At 43.3% G+C, this 19,943-nt stretch overlaps 1 protein-coding gene and 1 long non-coding RNA gene across 15 annotated transcripts in view, besides 6 other annotated features; one reads left to right on the top strand and one right to left on the bottom strand.

The window, feature by feature from the left end:
• Window positions 1-10,036, bottom strand: part of MAILR (macrophage interferon regulatory lncRNA) — a 113,606-nt gene extending 103,570 nt beyond the window's left edge. For both annotated transcript variants that reach the window (NR_126338.1, NR_126339.1), the window contains exon 1: window positions 9,684-10,036. This is a non-coding gene — a long non-coding RNA (macrophage interferon regulatory lncRNA). The remainder of the gene's footprint in view (window positions 1-9,683) is intronic.
• Window positions 1,603-2,102: an enhancer, noted in NCBI's record as "H3K27ac hESC enhancer chr8:103884433-103884932 (GRCh37/hg19 assembly coordinates)". NCBI's record gives its function as "activates a minimal SCP1, AML or CMV promoter by ChIP-STARR-seq in primed H9 embryonic stem cells {active_cell/tissue: H9 hESC(primed)}" and the evidence as "EXISTENCE:reporter gene assay evidence [ECO:0000049][PMID:30033119]".
• Window positions 9,066-9,798: an enhancer, noted in NCBI's record as "NANOG-H3K27ac-H3K4me1 hESC enhancer chr8:103876737-103877469 (GRCh37/hg19 assembly coordinates)". NCBI's record gives its function as "activates a minimal SCP1, AML or CMV promoter by ChIP-STARR-seq in naive H9 embryonic stem cells {active_cell/tissue: H9 hESC(naive)}" and the evidence as "EXISTENCE:reporter gene assay evidence [ECO:0000049][PMID:30033119]".
• Window positions 9,066-10,027: a biological region, named in NCBI's record as "NANOG-H3K27ac-H3K4me1 hESC enhancer GRCh37_chr8:103876737-103877469".
• Window positions 9,678-10,027: a silencer, noted in NCBI's record as "silent region_19448". NCBI's record gives its function as "represses an Ori minimal core promoter by ATAC-STARR-seq in GM12878 lymphoblastoid cells {active_cell/tissue: GM12878}" and the evidence as "EXISTENCE:reporter gene assay evidence [ECO:0000049][PMID:35858748]".
• The window catches only part of AZIN1 (antizyme inhibitor 1), a 37,899-nt gene continuing 28,062 nt past the window's right edge, over window positions 10,107-19,943 (top strand). For 11 of the 13 annotated variants that reach the window (NM_001363010.1, NM_001363013.1, NM_001363011.1 and 8 more), the window contains exons 1-2: window positions 10,107-10,500; window positions 16,157-16,294. The gene's annotated coding sequence lies outside the window, so the exon portion shown is untranslated. The remainder of the gene's footprint in view (window positions 10,501-16,156; window positions 16,295-19,943) is intronic. The other 2 variants (NM_148174.4, NM_001301668.3) reach the window with 1 other exon arrangement.
• Window positions 10,688-10,917: a silencer, noted in NCBI's record as "silent region_19447". NCBI's record gives its function as "represses an Ori minimal core promoter by ATAC-STARR-seq in GM12878 lymphoblastoid cells {active_cell/tissue: GM12878}" and the evidence as "EXISTENCE:reporter gene assay evidence [ECO:0000049][PMID:35858748]".
• Window positions 11,267-12,000: an enhancer, noted in NCBI's record as "H3K27ac hESC enhancer chr8:103874535-103875268 (GRCh37/hg19 assembly coordinates)". NCBI's record gives its function as "activates a minimal SCP1, AML or CMV promoter by ChIP-STARR-seq in naive H9 embryonic stem cells {active_cell/tissue: H9 hESC(naive)}" and the evidence as "EXISTENCE:reporter gene assay evidence [ECO:0000049][PMID:30033119]".

Genomic DNA, 19,943 nt, shown 5'->3' with positions numbered 1-19,943 from the left:
CCTGCCTCAGCCTCCTGAGTAGCTGGGACTACAGGTGCCCATCACCACACCTAATTTTTTGTATTTTTAGTACAGATGGGGTTTCACTGTGTTAGCCAGGATGGTCTCGATCTCCTGACCTTGTGATCCACCCGCCTTGGCCTCCCAAAGTGCTAGGATTACAGGCGTAAGCCACCGCACCCGGCCTAAATTTTCTTTATTTGTATAACTGAAGAGCAAGAAAAATGGGACAACTGGAATGCTGACCCACCCCTTATGATGACAAATGGTGGCTTCATCTTCTCACATAGGTTTCTCCTGGAACCCCAGTTACTGGCAGCTCTTGACTCATATTGTCATAACTTGAGACGGAAAAGAAATGATTCCCTCTTCAAGTCTTCCTTCCTGCAACCATTTATTAATAGAAAAATCCCAGGGAGAGAACGGTCTGAATCAAACATGTGCCAATCATTATTGAGCTGCACTAACTCCCAAGATTGGGCAAGAAGTTGTAAGCCCTTGTACCAATTACTTAGCCAGGGAGGCCCAGGTTATGATGACAGCTCACAACAGAACTCAGGGAATAGAAAGGGAAAAGTACTTCCAAAAGAACAGAAAATACATTTTCTGAAACAAATGGAGATGGTTTACAGTTAAGTCACTTAGCCAAGCAGAGCTAGGACTGACTGAAGTCTTTTAACTGCTATTATCATAGGTGACTGGATAATCTTTTTTTTTTTTGAGACAAGATCTCACCTTGTCAACCAGGCCAGAGTGCAATGGCACGATCTCAGCTCACTGCAACCTCCACCTCCTGGGTTCAAGCAATTCTCATGCCTCAGCCTCCCAAGTAACTGGGATTACAGGTGCACACCACAACGCCCAGCTAATTTTTTTTGTATTTTCTTGGTAAAGACGGAGTTTCACCATATTGGCCAGGCTGGTCTTGAACTCCTGACCTCAAGTGATCTGCCCGTCTTGGCCTCCCACAGTGCTGGGATTATAGGCGTGAGCCACCAAGCCTCGCCTGATAATCTTTTTGAGTCAGATACAAAAAGATTATTTTTGTGAAAGAAAGTTGTTTATGTTTCTCTTCTCCCTATTTTGATAAAGAACTAATATCTTATTGTCTTTATTGCATGGACTTTTCTCCTTCCAGTTACAATCAGAGAAGGCAAATTTATATCGATAAAAAGGTTAAGAAAACGTGCAAAATATCAAATTAAATGACACAGTAATCTTAAAAGTCTCATTCAAGAAAATGTAGCCTGCAGTTACCATTATTAACATTTAGGAAGAAGAATAAGCTCATGTGATAGCATCCAGGCTACATTATGAAAGAATATAAAGTAAACCGCAATTCAAACCCAACAAGACTCAATCTCAGAGCTCCCATTTTCTAAGCCCTTAACCAAAAATGTTAGGCTAGCTGCCAGGTCGCTATTTTGAGATAGAGAGATACAAACCTATCTTACAATATATTATGCAATAAACAATATATTTGTCATCGGAAAATGCCTGGTAGCAAAGTGAAAATGAAATTAATTTTACAAGGATTTACTAACTTCCAAAGCAAGCTCATGGATCTGTCCATTGTTTATTCTAATAATCTGTGGTGTTATGATATACATTGGTTTTTATCCACAGTTCCTGGCTCATAACTCCTACAGCCCTTGTTACAGTCTTTTGTTATAATGTGAGGTGTGTTAAGCCTCAGGAGCAAGCCTCTGACCTTCTCCTGCCCTCCTTTCACCTGCCCCAAGGCAGGACTCTAATCTTCTATCTTTCTGATTGTGGGTTTTAAGACTTTTCCCAGAAAGAATCTGCCCTGTACCCTGGGGGAAGGAATGCTGATGTCAGGAAGCCTCCATAAAAACCCAAGGGAACTGGGTTCACAGAGCTTCCAGATAGCTGAACACATGGAGGTTCCTGGAGAGTGGCGGGCCCAGGGAGGGCATGGAGGTTTCACATCCCTCCCCCTGTATCTTGCCCTATGTGTCTCTTCATCTGTATCCTTCGCAATATCCTTTATAATAAACCAGTAAACACAGGTATGTGTTTCCCAGAGTTCTGTGAGCCGTGCTAGCAAATTAATCGAACCCAAAGAGGAGGTCATGGGAACCCCAACTTGAAGCCTGTAGGTCAGAAGTTCAGGAGGCCTGGACTTAATGACTGGAGTTGCGGGGTGGGCAGTCTTGGGGACTGAGCCCTCAACCTGTGGGTTCTGACAGTATCTTCAGGTAGATAGTGTCAGAATTGAATTAGAGGACACCCAGCTGGTGTCCACTGCTTGGTGCATGGGGAAAAAAAAAACCACGTTTGGTTACAGAAGTCTTCTCGTGTTGTTGATTGTTGTTGTGGTGTCAGAGTAGAGAGAAATCATAGAGTTTTCCCTACACATCACCTAAGTTACATTTAACTTGTAAAACTGGATTATTCCTTTGGCCTCTTACAGAGGTTTCTAAAGCAGCCCTCTTAAATTAACAGTGAGTAATTTGTTGTTTCTGGAAGTAATAAAAGACGTCAGTGTATGCTTATGACTTGTTTATTGCAGAAACCTTCCAAGTCACTCAGATGAGGGAAAATGCTGACCCCCATCTACTGGCATACACAGCCACTGAAATCAAAATAGGAAAAATGTTTTTCTTTTCCCTTACATGTGAATTTTAATCTGGACTCTATCACCCTTTTTTTGTCATGCACACCATTCCATAGGTTAAATTATCCTGTGAACAAAGATATAGGTGATGAATATGAGCCAGTGCTAGGATGCAGGGCATCTCTAGACTGGAACGGCACAGAACCCTACTGACCTAAGTGCTACATTTTGTGAAAAGAATTAAACATAACAATTATATTAAATAAAATGATTTCTCATCTGAGGTGAAAGCCAAGCCAGGTAAAGAAATTACAACTCTAGCCTGGCGCAGTGGCTATGCCTGTAATTTCAACACTTTGGGAGGCCAAGGCGAGCAGATCACTTGAGGTCAAGAGTTTGAGACCAGCCTGGCCAACATGGTGAAACCCCATCTCTATAAAAATACAAAAATTAACCAGGCATGGTGGCACATGCCTCTAATCCCAGCTACTCAGGAGGCTGAGGTACAAGACTGTGCCTCCAAAATAATTTTTAAAAGGAAAACAAAAAATGACTCCAAGGATTTGTGTGTGTTTTTTTTTTTTTTTTTTTTGACAGAGTCTCACTGTGTTGCCCAGGCTGGAGTGCAGTGGTACAGTCTCGGCTCACTGCAACCTCTGCCTCTGGGTTTCAAGTGATTCTCGTGCCTCAGCCTCCCGGGTAGCTGGGACTACAGCCAATTTTTGACTTTTTTTGGTGTGCATGTTTTTAGTAGAGATGAGGTTTCACCATGTTGGCCAGGCTGCTCTTGAACTCCTGGCCTCAAGTGACCCACCCACCTTGGCCTCCCAAAGTGCTAGGATTACAGGTGTGAGCCACTGCACCCGGTCAGGATTTTAGTAACAGATACTCAGCAAATAAAGGAGCATCTGTTAGGCTTTTTACATCTATTTAGTTAAAAGAGAGAATAGTATATAATCTAAACTCTGTACCCAGCAATGTAATTTGAAACATTTTTGCTAGTCCATAAATACCATAGCATTAGATTATTGGTAAGTGAGTTGGCTTTTTAGAAAGGTTATTGGAGCACAAAAAAGATGTAGTGGATGGCTAAAATATCATGTTTTAAAATGTGAATGTTTTTACTATTCAACATCTATATATGTTGGTTTTCTACAGGATAAGGAGTATTCCAGGAATTTACCTTAGCAATAAAAATTTATAGGAAGCTATCTTTAAACATTCCTATTGTCTTAGTCCATTTTGTGCTGATGTAACAGAATACCACAGACTAGCTAATTTATAATGCACAGAAATTTGTTGGCTCATCGTTCTGAAGGCTGGGAAGTCCAAGATCAAGAGGCCAGCATCTGCTGACGGCCTTCTTGCTGGGTCATCCCATAGTAGAAGAGCAAAGAAAGGACAACAGAGAGAAAGAGAGTAAGAGGATTGAACTCCCCCTCTTATAAGGAACCCCCTCTGGCATTAATCTATTAACTCCACCCTCATGACCTAATTACCTTTCATGAGGCCCCACCTCCCAACAACATTGCACTGGGGATTAAGTTTCCAACAGAGGCATTTTGGGGTACACATTCAAACTATAGCATCCATTAAACTGGGATTTTTACTCTCAATTACCAATAAACTCTTAACTTTTATATATGTGGTTACATGAGATTTCTATTATAGGGTGATGATTTTGTTTACCTTTTTTTTTTTTTTGAGACTGAGTCTTGCTCTGTCACCCAGGCTGGAGTGCAGTGGCACGATCCCAGCAGCCTCGACCTACTGGGCTCAAGTGATTCTCCTGCCTCAGCCTCCCAAGAAGCTAGGACTACAGGCACATGCCACCATGCCTGGCTAATTTTTGTATTTTTTGTACAAACAGCATTTCACCATGTTGCCCAGGCTGGTCTTGAATTATTAGGCTCAAGGGATCCCCCCACCTCAGCCTTCCAAAGTGCTGAGACTACAGGCATGACCTATCATGCCCAGCCTTACCTATTTATGTTGAGTGACTTACCCTTATCAATCATCTAATTCATTCAATCTTTCATATCTATTGGCACAAAAGCATATAAGTTTGAATCAATGGACCTAGGTGATTTAAGTAGGAACAGTATTATATTATTTTATCTTAGGGCTCTATTTAATGATAATATTTTTGCTGGCACTACCTGCATATTTGTGTATGAGTAACCTGACTTGGCAAAATAACTAAAACCCCAAACACAGTTAAATATGCCATTCTCATTAGATAGCTATCCTTCCATTAAAGTTACACTATGTTGTCTATTCCAATGTAGTACAGTTTTCTTTTTGTTTTTTTGTTTTTTGAGATGGAGTATCACTCTTGTTGCCTAGGCTGGAACGCAATGGCGCAATCTCAGCTCACTGCAACTTCTGCCTCCCAGGTTCAAGTGATTCTCCTGCCTCAGCCTCCTGAGTAGCTGGCATTACAGGCATGACCACCATGCCCAGCTAATTTTGTATTTTTAGTAGGGACGGGGTTTCTCCATGTTGGTCAGGCTGGTCTTGAACGCCTCGGCCTCCCAAAGTGCTGGGATTACAGGCATGAGCCACCGTGCCCGGCCTACTGTGGTATAGTTTTCAAAGCACTATTGTATTCATGTAAAGCTAGCATTATTCTTTAAATCTGAATACAAAAATACTAATTGTGTGGGCACATACTTTTCATAATAAATGTTGTTGAGTTGCTTCATGGTGCAAATGATGTTGGCTTAGGCTCTAGTCCAGTATCATCTACTTAAAGAGAGGTCAACATTCACTGACTGCAAGTGCCCCTCACTCAACCCTTTACAACTTCCTGTTTCTCCTACTCTGCTGATATTACTCTGTTAAAGGTTACAGATAAAATTCTTTCCAGGCCCTTGCTATTCTCCATGAATGACTACAATGGCTTCACGTATGTTCTGCCTGCCAAAAACTTAAGAGTATTTTACGTTTCCAGCCCCACTTTCTCACCTTTTCTAAAATACAAATCATTTCCATGATTGAAGCCTTTTCCAACGCCTTTGGAATATAAACCCAAACTTTTTTTTTCTTTAAAGATCAACAACAGTTTATTAGTTACACATTCCCTCAGACAAGAAGAGGAAAGTAGTGTAAGCTATGCAGGCCCACACAGGGATTGCACTTGGGAGCAAAGAGAACAAACAGGGGACTGAGGAAGGTTTTGTAGTATCAAGAAGGTGAGATACGCTTGGTGTGGTGGCTCACACCTGTAATCCCAACACTTTGGGAGGTTGAGGTGGGAGGATCGCTTGAGCCCAGGAGTTCGAGATTAGCTCTGACAACATGGTGAAACCCCATGTCTACAAAAAATTTAAAAAAAAAATTAGGCATGGTGGTGCACACCCGTCATCCCAGCTATTCGAGAGGCTGAAGTGAGAGAATCGCTTGAGCCCAGGAGGTGGAGGTTGCAGTGAGCTATAATCATGCCACTGCACTCCAGCCTGGGAAACAGAGCGAGAGTCTTTTAGGAGAAAAAAAAAAAAAAGAAAGTGAGATGTGCCTTGAATTTCAAAACAAAATTTTATTGGTTCATCTGAATAATTCTGTGGGCTGGCAGGGAACTAAAACACATTATACTCCCAACTGTTAAGACTGCAATAATATACTATAATGCTACAATGCCATAATCTACTATATACAATAGTACTTAATACAGTACATCCTCATTTGATGTCATCCATAGGTTCTTGGAAACTGTAACTTTAAGTCAAACCATTAACCATATAACAAAACCAATTTTGCCAGAGACAAATTGATTTAAATAAGAGTTAGGGTCCTATGGCATATAGTTCCTATAGCATTGATAAAATCAGAATCCCCTTTCCAACCTGTTTGAGGATATGACAACCCTGATCACTCATCCCGTTTTGCGATAAGCACCCTCTTCCTTGAATAGCATAGCATTGCACTATTGTCATTTTCTTCGGCCTCTTGGTCTTCTCTGCGGCTGTCTTTTATCTCTGGCATTCTCTAGATCCTGTGCTTATACTCTTTTCTTCTATACCTCAATAATTCCTTAATTATCATGTCTGTAGGAAAGGCTCCCAAATTCACACCCAAAGGGTTCTAGATCTCCCCATTTTCAGAGGCCTCTGGACCATTTTTACCTGGCTATTTCTTCAACAGCTAAAACTCTGTATCACAGCAGCCTCAGGCCTGGTGTGATGGCTCATGCCTATAATCCCAGCATTTTGCGAGGCCTAAGTATGTGGATCACTTGAGTCCAGGAGGTCAAAACCAACCTGGGCAACATGGCAAGACCTGTCTTCACAAAAAATTAGCCAGGCATGGTGGTGCACCAGTAGTTCCAGCTACTCAGAGGCTGAGGTGGGATGATCACTTGGTCCCAGGAGGTGGAGGTTGCAGTGAGACGAGACTATGCCTCTCCACTTCAGCCTGAGCAACAGAGTGACACACTGTCACATACACACACAAAAGGCAAAAAAACCTAGCCTCATCTTACTCCCTCTTTTTTTTTTTTTTTTTTTTTTTTTGAGATGGAGTCTCGCTCTGTCGCCCAGGCTGGAGTGCAGTGGCACCATCTCGGCTCACTGCAAGCTACGCCTCCCAGGTTCATGCCATTCTCCTGCCTCAGCCTCCCAAGTAGCTGGGACTACAGGGCACATGCCACCATGCCCAGCTAATTTTTGTATTTTTAGTAGAGACGGGGTTTCGTCATGTTGGCCAGGGTGGTCTTGATCTCTTGACTTCGTGACCCGCCTGCCTCAGCCTCCCAAAGTGCTGGGATTACAGGCGTGAGCCACTGCTCCTGGCAGGGTCCTTCTATTTCTATCTCTGTTTATGGCTCCAGAATTCTCCCTGTTGATAAGCTTAATATCCCCAAATCACTTGACACCTTCTCATCTCCTTTGAAAGTCAAGATTATCTCTACTCTCTCTGTGCGTTTTCCCTCCCATCCATTCTGAATCCCCTTAGTACTTTCATTATTATTATTATTATTTGAGACAAAGTACATCTCTGTTGCACAGGCTGGAGTGCAGTGGTGCGATCTCAGCTCACTGCAACCTCTGCCTCCCGGGTTCAAGCAATTCTCCTGCCACCGCCTCCCAAGTAGCTGGGACTACATGCGTGTACCAGCACGCCTGGTTAATTTTTGTAGTTTTAGCAGAGACAGGGTTTTGCTATGTTGGGCAGACTGGTTTCAAACTACTGGCCTCAAGTGATCCGTCCGCCTCAGCCTCCCAAAGTGCTAGGCCACCACACCATCACTAGGCCACCAAGTGAGCAACCACGCCCGGCCCCCTTAGTACTAAAATAAATAAATAAGTAAACCAAAAGACCCCAGAAAACTGCTGTAAGAGTTTCCTTCACTTCCAAACTTTCTACCTCTTTTCAATCCCACCCACTGGTGCTGGAGTAATCTTTTAAAAAACATATTTTTGAGCATATCATGTTCCTGTTTATATGGTTCCAGAATAAAGTCCAAGTTCCAATTTTTTGTTTTGTTTTTTTTTTTTTTTTTGAGACGCAGTTTCACTCTTGTTGCCCAGACTGGAGAGTGCAATGGTGTGATCTCGGCTCACTGCAACTTCCGCCTCCCAGGTTCTAGAGATTCTCCTGCCTCAGCTTCCTGAGTAGCTGGATTACAGCCATGTGCCACCATGCCCAGCTAATTTTGTAGTTTTAGTAGAGCCGGGTTTTCTCCATGTTGGTCAGGCTGGTCTCGAATTCCCGACCTCAGGTAATCCGCCCTCCTCGGCCTCCCAAAGTGCTGGGAATACAGGTGTAAGCCACTGCGCCCAGCCTCCAATGTCTTCTTGATGTCACCCTAATCTACCGTTTCAATCTCATTTGCAACCATGCCCCTATGCTGGAACCAGAAAGGCTATTCACAATTCTCTAAACCCACCCACTTCTGTGCCTTCTCTCATCCGTTTCCCTTGCCTGGAACACTGGAACATCTACTCTCAAAATCACCAAACAGGCGAGTTTGGTGAAAAAGGAAGCACCTTTGTCTAGAAAGGCTTTTCTCAAAATCACTCTTTACCTTTCCCCAGCAGCCTTTCTCTCACTTAGCTGCAATCATCTCTTCCCTCCACTTGGTCCTTGCAGCATTTTATTTGTATCAGCCAACAATTTATTTTGTATTGCTGTCTTATTTCCCCTGCTAGATTGTAAGCAAGGTTTCAAATATTGTATTCATCTCTAGTTTTTCTTCCTCCACCAGAGAGGGTCTAGTGAATGGCTGTGTTTTCAAATGTTCTGAATAGAACAGAACTTTGAAGAAATAAAAGACAGAGCCAAGATATAGCCGAGCAAAATAAGGAAAAACAAAATCAGGAATGCGTCCACAGCTCCTGATTCTACCGAATACTCTCTCATACAGCCTCGCAAGATACCCTGCTTTTCCACACAGGAAGGTCGCTTTCTTCCTTTCACATTTGATGATTTATTAATCAACCACAGTGCTGCTCAAAGTACACAGAGGGTTCGGAAGAATGAAAGGGAAAAAAGTCAGGGTCTTAATATCAAAGATCTTAACTTCAGAGGGGTGTGTCAACACATATTCCATTTGTGCTATGTGTTGCGAAGCGTAGCAGCACGAGAGAACTCGGGGTCTCTGATCATGATCATTAGTGCTGAGGCATCTAAAAAAGATGAAAATAAATTAAAAGCTATGTAGGTAATCTTAGAACCCCTAGTAAAAAAAAGTCTGTTGTGGAGTAGAAAAATTAAAACGACCGCGAAAATGAGACCTAGGGGATTGAAGTAATGTGCGCTTGTAACATCAGTAATCCCCTCTCCAACGCGGGTCCTGCTTGGGACTGACTCCACCAATCCTTTTAAAAATGAAGACATAAAAGCCATATTCCTTTAAAAAATTTCCACTGCACCGTATTGCAACGTTCGAGCACTGAGGACATTTTCACGTGGTCACAACCCTTTTTAACACCCGGACACTGGGCCGGTCCTTTCTGGCCACGAGGAACTCGCTTCCCTAAAGGAGTACCGCATCACCGAGGGCGGGCGCCTCAGCCCGGGAGGACACTCCCCAGGGTAAACTACAGGCCTCACAAAGCGGAGGGAGCTGGACGCGAAGGCTCGGCAGCGGCGCCGACAGGCTTACCCCAGGCCCACTCTAGGCCGCACAGGGTTCGCGCCACCTCCGGCCCAGGACAGCTCTCAGACGCTGCCAGCGTGGAGCTCGACCCGGCTCACAATGCGCTGGGCCCCGCAGCGTGAGCGCAGGCGCCCGAGAGGCGGCGGGGGTCGGGCGGACGGCGCGCTCCAGCCGAGCCGCCTCCCTCTCTCGGCCCACACCCGCGCGGCCGCCCTTCGCCTGCCGGGGAGCTGCGGGTGGCTGGAGGGCGGGAAGCGACCGGCCAGTCTGCACCTGCATGACCCGGTCGCGCGCCGACCCCTCCCCTCTCTCTCCCGGGCTCAGTCCTCCTTCCTCTTCCGTCCCCCTCCCTTTTCTCCGGGCTGCAACCGGGTTCCGCCCCGCTCGCGCGGCTGCCCGGCCAGCTGTGATGTCACCAGGCCACGCCCCCTAATATAAATACTGGCGTCGCTGGCGCCGCCTTCTCACACTTTCAGGCTCTGATCGCGGCCGCAGTTTTTCCTTTTTTCTTCTGCCGTCGCCTTCTCTGCCTCTTCTCATCCTTTCTCGCTCTGCTGCTCTGCAGTGTGACGAGTCCGAATCCTCTTCCCACCCAGCCCGCGCCTTTCTTCTTTTGCCTGCGCTGTTCTATTTCTCCTTCGGCCGCCGCCGCCACTGCTGCACACAGCTGGTGTCGGTGCCGCGCTTTTACCCCCAAGTCGTTCCCGCAGCCTATGGCCCAGGCCGCCTTGGGTATTTCTGCTCAAGGTAACCACATCCCTCTTTAAAAATTCCGCCGAAAAAGAGAAGACGCTTTACCCGACTCTTTGGGCCGTTATCTCACGTGAGTACCGAGCCGAGGAGCGCGGGAGGGGCCAGGACGCGGGGCTGGCCTTGGGGGGCGGCTGGGGGGCTCCGGCTGGGCCCCGCCGCCCTTAAGACGTCCCCGCAGCGCCCCGCGGCCGGCCGCCTCGAACATGGCGGCGGCGGCTGTCTGTGCCCCCGGCGGCGGCGGCGGCGGCGGGGCTGGGCGGCGGGCCGCGCCTCAGGACCTTCGGGCGGCTGCTGGACGCTTGGCGGAGCCGGAGCCGCAGCAGTTGGGGCGAGGGGGCGTGTGCCAGTGGGGGAGCGCGCGGGGGTCTCGCCGCCGGGGGTCGCCGTCCCCTCCTGGCGGCGTGCGGCCCCCACCCCTCTCCCGTGGTGCATTGCTGTTTCCGGGGAGGGGGCCCGGCCGCAGCCCTGAGGGGCCGGGGTCCCGCAGCCCCTACTCCGCGGTGCGCCGCCGCCACCTTTGCCTCCCGAAGCCCGGCGGGCGGGCGGCGCTGTGGGCTGCAACGGCTGGGGTCCTGGTTATGAATGGAGCGGGGCGGGCCCCGCGCCGGCCTCTGGTGACAGCTGCGGAGGAAGTCGGATTCCTGGGGGGCGCGGGGAGCGCGGTCCCCCTCTGGTGGAGGAAAGTTGACGCCACTTGGGGCCTGGCGGCGGGGAAGCCCCGGTGTCAGGTAGCCAGCGAGAGGCTTTTGGCCCCTTCTGGAAGCCTCGAGGCTGCTGCTCCGCCCCTGCGGCGCTCCTGATTGGGTCAAGTCGCCTTCACTCACCCCAGTCACCTCCTGGAGCCTGAGGATTAGTCACCATGGCTTCGTTTTTCCGTCCGCGCCATGGTTCCTAGGCAGAAAGAGGGAGATTGGTAGACGGGTGGCTTATCAACTACTGTCTTGACTGCCAACAGTTGGTGGTGGTAACATGTTCTAACCCTTACACGGTATCCTGAATGTGTGTTTCGTAGACAAAGCTGCTGGTTCAGAAACCCGAAACAGTCGGGGACACAGTTTACCGCCTCATGTTTCAGCACATTTAACTGAATTTTGTGGTGGCATCTTGGTTATATTAGTTCTGTGTCCCGTCGTGTTTCTATCGTGAATTCCCAGACTGGGTGGGAATCTAAGGACTCAAAGGAGGGGGAATTGCCTTGTGCTCAGCGAAGGTTGATGTAGAGGTGCATCAAAGCACAAAGTAGAAGTACATCAAAGCACATCAAATACAGCAAGGGTTGGCAGAAACATGGCTCATGATTGTCTAGAAAGGCCCTCATAATTCATTAATTTCTTTTACATATACGAGAGCGTGCAGATGCTGATCATGATTAGAAATAAGCCCCAAGGAGTTTAGGAAAGACTCCAAAAGAAAATGATTATCGGTGGTGATAAGTGAGGTCGAGTAGTCAGTGCCTTTCTCCCCCAAGGTTTTATCACATACGTTTTCAAACAGAAGGTGAAAAAGAGTTATACTTCCACCTAGATTCTGTAATTAACATTTTACCTTATTTGTCGATGCATTTCAAAGTAAAGTTGGAGACCCCTCCAACTTTAGTATGTGCATATTAAATAGAGCTCAGTACCGCTTACTATTTTTTAAATCTTAGAGGGTAAAATTCACATCAGTATAAACCCACAAGTCTTAAGTATGCAATTTGATGAACGTTGACAAAAATACAGCTGTGTAACCTAAACCTTTTGTCAAGATGTAGAACATCGCCATCACCCTCAAAAGTTTTTTCTTGTCCTTTCAAATCGTCTTCCAGTCACCACAGAGCCAACCACGATCTTGGTTTTTTTTTTTTGGAGTCTAGCTCTGTCGCCCAGGCTGGAGTGCAGTGGCACAATCTCGGCTTACTGCAACCTCCGCTTCCCAGGTTCAAGCGATTCTCCTTCCTCAGCCTCCCGAGCAGCTGGGATTACAGGCGCCCACCACGCCCAGCTAATTTTTGTATTTTTAGTAGAAAAGGGGTTTCACTGTTGGTCAGGCTGGTCTGGAACTCCTGACCTCATGATCCGCCCATCTCGGCCTCCCAGAGTGCTGGGATTACAAGCGTGAGCCACTGCGCCCGGCTGATCTTGATTTTTTTTTTTAAACCCATAGATTATTTTCGTCTATTCCAGACTTTCCACATGAATGGAATCATACAGTATGCATTCTTTGGTATAAAAGGCTTCTTTTAACTCAGCACATTTTTAATATTCATCCCTGTTGTCTTTATCTGTAGATTATCAGTAGATTATTTGTGTTGCTGAGTAGTAGCCCATTAGGTGACTGTCCCTTGGTTGTTTTTTTTAAAAATAAACTTTATTAGGCCGGGCGCGGTGGCTCAAGCCTGTAATCCCAGCACTTTGGGAGGCTGAGGCGGGTGGATTGCCTGAGGTCAGGAGACCAGCCTGGCTAACATGCTGAAACTCCATCTCTACTAAAAATACAAAAATTAGCCGGGCGTGGTGGCTGGCTCCTGTAATCCCAGCTCCTCGGGAGGCTGAGTCAGGAGAATCGCTTGAACTGGGGAGGCAGAGGTTGCAGTGAGCCGAGATCTCACCAGGGCACTCCAGCCTGGGGGACAAGAGCAGCGGGACTTCATCTCAAAAAATAATAATAATAATGAAAAATAAACTTTATTTTGGAGTATCTTAGTTGCGCAGCAAAGTCACAAAGATACAGTTTCTTCATACTTCCCACCCAGTTATTAGTAACATCTTACGTTATTACAGTACATTTGTTAAAACTAAGAAACTGACTTTGGCACTATGAAACGTTCGAGACTTTTATTTGGATTTCGCCAATTTTTCTTTAATGTCTTTTTCTGTTCCAGAATCCAAGTTACCACATTGTATTTAGTTGTCATGTCTTCCCAGTTTTCTTTGGTTTGTGACAGTTTCTCAGTCTTCCTTTGTTTTTCATTACCATCACAGTCTAGAAAAGTGCTGCCAGATATCTGGTAGAATACTCCCCTCCCCTAAACTTGGGGTTTACCTGATGTTTTTCTCATGATTAGACTGGGGTTTGGAGTTTTTACAAAGAATACCACAGAACGATTTTAAAAATCATTGGTAAAGGCATTGTGTTTTCAGAGACGTACTGATAATTTTGAGATACTAAGTTTGTAATAGTTACTGTCAAAGTGATAGAAAGTTTTTGTAGTTGGGCACGGTGGTTTGCACCTGTAATCCCAGCACTTCGGAAGGCTGATGCAGGCGGATCACTTGAGCTCAGGAATTCAAGGCCAGCTTGAATTCCTATTTTATTTTTAAGAAAATAAAATAGGCCAGGCGTGGTGGCTCATGCCTGTAATCCCAGCACTTTGGGAGGTCGAGGTGGGTGGATCGCAAGGTCAGGAGTTCGAGACCAGCCTGGCCAATATGATGAAACCCCATCTCTACTAAAAATACAAAAAAATTAGCCGGGCATGGTGGCACATGCCTGTAATCCGAGCTACTCGGAAGGCTGAGGCAGGAGAATTGCTTGAATCTGAGAGGCAGAGGTTGCAGTGAGCCAAGATCGCGCCACTGCACTCCAGCCTGGGTGACAGAGCGAGACTCCGTCTCAAAAAAATAAAATAAAATAAATTACATAAAATGCTTCTTGTTTCTTACTGACCAACCGAGCCCTCTCTGTGCTATTCTCTAAGGTGTTAGAGAATTTGCAGTGTTTACATACACCATTCTAAGTGAAAATAATTTATTTTTTTCCATACTGCCTTTTCTCCGCATTTCCATTTAACAAGTCCTTCTTCATGCTTTTTTATCCTAACTGTCCGGATAAACATTCTATCTATCCTGTATGTAAGTGCTTATAAGAAGTGCTTATCTATCCTGTATGTGTTTATAAGAAGTGCTTATCCTATGCACCTTTTGGGTCTTGCTGTGTTGCCCAGGCTGGACTCAAATTCCTGGGCTCAAGCAGTCCTCCTGCCTTAACCTCCTCAGTAGTTGAGACTATAGGTGCATACTGTCACATCTGGCTCATTTTTTCTTTTCTTTTCTTTTTTTGGAGACAGGTTCTCCCTCTGTTGCCTGGGCTGGAGTACAGTGGCACAATCTCGGCTCACTGCAACCTCCGCCTCTTGAGTTCAAGCAATTCTTGTGCCTCAGGCTCCTGAGTAGCTGGGATTACAGGTGTGCACCGCCATGCCCAGCTGATTTTTGTATTTTTAGTAGAAGATGGGATTTCACTGTGTTGACCAGACTGATCTTGAACTCCTGGCCTCAAGTGATCCACTGGCTCAGAGCCACTGCGCCTAGCCCTATTTTTTGTATTTAAATAATGCCTTTCAAATTCTAGAGCCTTCATTCCCTACTAGTATCTTTTTGTTAAATGGAAATGTTGTAGGGTTCTCACTGAGGAACATTCTGGAATGTCTGACGTTTAATGTCCATAATGTTTCACATCATTGCTCTTGGGTTGCATTAAGCAGCAAAATAGCTGTGGATATATGTATTGAGAAAAAGATGAATAATGTCTTACCTAGGGTATCTGATCCTATTCCTTAGGATAATTGAGAATGATCTGTCCCCAGCATGACTCAACTTTTTATTTATTTAGAAAATTACGTTGGTGTTGAAAGAATCAGAATGTTATGGAGTAGTACATTATTTGGAATCTAATGTAAGATTATTATCATCATTGCATGTTTGTAGGAGTTCTTTCCTCATCATCCATAAATGTCATTCATTGAGCATGTGATCAGCTTCTCCTAGATAGATGAAACATTTTGCCTCCACCAGGAGTGCCTTGATCCTGGTGAGATACACTTTAGGTATGCCTACAGTGCTTCTGAAATCCCTCCAACTCTTGACTTTATAATTTCTGGTTTTCTGGCTTCCTTCTTACCACCCCTTTCTAGCAAACACTGTCAGATTATTTTACTTGAAAACAGTAACCACTGAATTATACATAGAAACATAGGTATATCATTTTAGCTTAGAAGTGATGAGTGGTAACAATGTCTAAAACTCACCTACCATGTTGTATAGTGTGCTGTGCACTTATCACATTTATTTGTTCCTGGTGATAATAGAATGAATTATGTCCAAATAGGTTAGATATGAGAAGATAAATCTTAAGAGATTAGTTGCTTAATATTATAAGGAAGTTCTCAAGTTATTTTATGTTTTTCAAAAGTTATGTTAGATACATATATAATGCATTAGCTAAGTCATAAAATCTTTTGGTATTGTGGTGGATTTTTACATTTAAAATGTAAAAGACAAATATTTGAGGAGTAAAAGAGTGTTCTGGGTGGTTCCAAACTATTGGGTCATGCTAGTACATTATTCATATAAAGTCTTGTATATACACTAGGTTGGTGAGGGTACTTGGAATTTTTTAAATTCTGGACCACTTAAAAATGTGGAATTTTAGAGGACAAATAAAAGCAAAAATGAAGTTTTCATCTTCAAAAATGAAGGCTGGTAACTCTTGAGTAGGCAGATAAAACGACTTGGTAAGATGGCTATGACATCAAGTTCTGTGAATTTTTTATAGCAGCTTGGAAATGTTTACTGCATAAAGTACTTGGTACTGTGGTAAACCCTTTGAAAATATCACTTGTGTAATGTGACTTTAATGAAACATTGTTATAAAATGAACACGTATTCTACAGTTCATGTTTAAGTCAGCCTAAACATTTTTTTAACATAGGACTATCTTCTGCTACTTTTATTTCCTTCTTTTAGGGCGAACTTTCTGACCAAGTATACAACTACCCAGAGGGCCTAGGAGAAGTGCTGTATAGAGAGCAGTTCGACTTCAACGCTGAGCCACCTTGGGAACCTAGCTGATGATAGGGGGGTTCCATCTCCCAACTTGTCCATGTAAGTATTTGCACATTTGTTGGTGGGGAGGAGGTCTTTAAAATCGAAGGAAGAGTGCTGCCTTGCTTAGTATTTTTCAGAATTTGAAATTGCATTTACCTCTTAAAGTGCAGTGACTTTTAAATTTCTGAAATAGAGATAAGACAGTTACTGGTTACAGACTTGACTGATTTAGTTGTGTGCATTGTTTACCAATGACTGGATCATTTAAAACTATCTTGTATGCATAACTTAGAAAATATACGTTGAAGAGGGCTTTTGGGAAATAAGGTATAGTTTATCACATCATTCAACCATTTAACTTAGTGAAATGATTTTTGCTACTCAGCTGGTAGGAACAACTAACTGATTGTTTTTAGAGGACTTGCTGAAAGATGATAGAGATAGATAGAGATACATATATATATCTCAATTTATATATGTATCTAAATATGTATATGGTATTAAAATATATGTATGGTATTAAAATATAGATATTTAACAGATTTTCAAGGATAGTTTTTGACTATACTTGGTTTTCTATGTGTGAATTTTACTTTAGAATTGAGCCCCTGTGCAAAATGTAATTCCACAGTAAACTGAATTTGGGCTACTAGATTTGTGTGGGTTCATTTAAAAATTTTGTGGTATATAGACTTATTGTTACGGAAATTCAGATTTTGTTATTAAAATTTAAGTGTTTTTAAGTTTGGTCAGAGACTTAGAGGTAAGTTTTCAGGAAAGCTGAGGGTATCAGTTTTAGTGTTTCTTTAATCTGATCTTGTTAAACAGATCCCTATTCGATAAAAGTGTTTGCTCTAAGCAAACATTTGATGTTAATACAAATTAGAATTTTAGACTCAGGTTTTTAAGGCTAAAGAGAAGGAAACACAGTTTAAATAGTAAGATTTCTTGAAACCTTTGACTTAGAATGTTGGCTAGAGGGTTTCCTATACTGGCTTTCTCCTACCTGTGTAAATTTGAGCAAATGTGAATCCCAGCTATAACATAATGTTGGACTGGAACAGTTCTTTTTGTGTTAAACTGGCATAATTTCTTTTTTTGAGTGTATTACTGTCCTTGGTTATGCAGTGTAGTCTTCGGACGAATTGCATTAGCATCCTCACCTAGAACAGAAATACAGAATCTCAGCCTCACCCAAACCTGAATCAGAGTCTATATCCAGGTGGCTTGTGTGCACATTAAAGAGAAGCAGGGTCATTGCTGTTTCAATACTAAGTCAGTTGCCTAATTTTTGTTAGTCCATCTGTTCTATTTGCAACATACCTGATGTTTTTCTCCCAAGTTGACTTGGAGATATAAAACCTTTTTGGGTGGTGCAATCTGTTAAAGTTAACATCATAGTTGTGAATCCATTCTAAGGCAGAAATTTAAGAACAAGCTTCGTCTTTTGAGGAAGACCGTAATAAAAGATAATCCTTCTTTTAATTCGTGTCTCTTGCTTTAAAGAAAAGTTACCTTGCATTATAGTTAATATTTCTACTGGTGTTTCCTCTTAGAAACTTGAGAGACTATTGTCAGTGAGCTGAATGATTCTGCAAAATCAGGGAAAAGTAGTCTTTAGATTAATAATGTAGGATTCAGAAAGTCTATAGTGTCTCCCTCTTTGTGGGTAGGAGGGAATGGGAGCAGATAGAAGCTAAAGATAATTTATTCTGCAGGTTCTGGCAGTCAGAATAACTGGCTTTTAACTTTATTATGCCCGGGTACAATGCATATTATGTCAAACAAATATAACTTCTTTAAATATTCACATGTAATCTTCTCATTTTGCATGTCTAGTATTTGATGCTTTGCTATAAAGCTACAGGTCCACAATCCCTTTTTCATAGAATTCTGAAATCCAAAAAGTCTTTAAAAAAATTTTTTTATAGCTTCCTTGATGTGACCTTAACTGATTTGGGAAAAAAAAAAAAAAACAAAAAAAACTTGACCTGGATCTGTGCTGATTTGAGGCTATTTTTGTCTTTACTTATCCCATTTAGTGTTAATATTCCTAAATTTTGCTTCAGAAATATTGTGGTTGCAGGGTGCTGACTCATTCTCCTGAAGAATATTACATAACATATGTAAAGTATGTGTACTACATTATGGTTCAAAATCTGGAGAATTCTGAATTCACAAAGATACCTAGTCCCAAAGGTTTCTTGACTAGAATTTGTAAAATTGGCAAGAGAAAATTCCGCATTCCAGAAATGTGTTATCCTTACAAATCAATAAGAGTTTGCTCTATTGGACACCGAAATCCTGGGGTTAATTTTCTGTAGATCAACAATATTATTTGAAAACCATTAAAAGGAGTTAAAACAGCTTCATGGAAATTATTTGGCCCATAGCATTGCAAAGCATGTAGCTATATGAACTCTGCTTGAACTGGTCCACTAGGATTCCCGTGCAGGTAGTCTGAGATCCAGAATTGGCTTCAGAGTTAGGTTTTAAATCAACCACCTGAATTTTGATGGAATAAACTAAGTATCTGGAAATTTTGGAAGTTGCTTACATAATCCTTTTCTTTCATAATTTAGAATGTGTGTATGATGTAGTACGCAAACACTGTAAAAATGTCTTAACAAAATATTTTAAGGTCAATATCAAAGATTAATGGGCCCCTAATTGTGAAAAAGTTTTTGTGAGCCTTTTGAGAAATCCCCTAGGCCAGGTGAGGTGGCTCACACCTGTAATCCCAGCACTTTGGGAGGCCAAGGCGGGCGGATTACATGAGGTCAGGAGTTCAAGACCAGCTTGGCCAACATGGTGAAACCCTGTCTCTACTAAAAAAAAATATAAAATTAGTCGAGCGTCGTGGCAGGTGCCTGTAATGCCAACTACTCGTGGGAGGCTGAGGCAGGAGAATCACTTGAATCTGGGAGGCGGAGGCTGCAGTGAGCCGAGATCGTGCCATTGCACTTCAGCCTAGGCTACAACAGCAAATCTCCGTCTCAAAAAAAAAGAAATCCCCTAGGTCTTGATGCTGGAGTAAAGGTTTTCCAGTGGGCTAGTTTTCTATTTATTTTGGTTGTAGGTTTAATTATAATTAATGAATTAGCCTAATGGAAAATATTTTAAAACTTAAAAAGCTAAGTTTGCTTCTCATAGTGGATCCAGTGATGTGGTCAGATTCATTATCACATACCCTTTAATGTTGTGCAGTATGGAAAAGGGATTCAGTTAATTGATTTGCTTAAATGGGCTCTTAACAAGTTTGCTTTAAAAAGTTTTTTTTTTTACCTGGTTGTCATTAGTCGGCTCTATATATTCATGTAGGAACTTCAGAAGAACATCAGCATTTTAAATATTCACATTTTGTCTCCTAATCTTTAGTATTTACACATGCCTTAGTAGGAGCTCCCTACCTAATTAGGATTATTTTAACTAGGGAAAAAAAATATATATATATATATATATTTTTTTTTTTTTTGACAGAGTCTCCTCCTTTCGCCCAGGCTGGAGTGCAGTGGCACAATCTTGGCTCACTGCAACCTCCGCCTCCCTGGTTCAACTGATTCTTCCGCCTCAGCCTCCCAAGTAGTTGGGATTACAGGCACCCACCATTATGCCCGGCTAAATTTTGTATTTTTGTGGAGATGGGTTTCACCATGTGGCCAGGCTGGTCTTGAACTCCAGACCTCAGGTGATCCGCCCCCCTTGC

The sequence above is a fragment of the Homo sapiens genome, chromosome 8 (assembly GCF_000001405.40).
Source record: "Homo sapiens chromosome 8, GRCh38.p14 Primary Assembly".
Taxonomy (NCBI): Eukaryota; Metazoa; Chordata; class Mammalia; order Primates; family Hominidae; genus Homo; species Homo sapiens.
The sequence above is the reverse complement of the archived record's forward strand: the minus strand, read 5'-3'. Positions and strand labels throughout refer to the sequence as shown.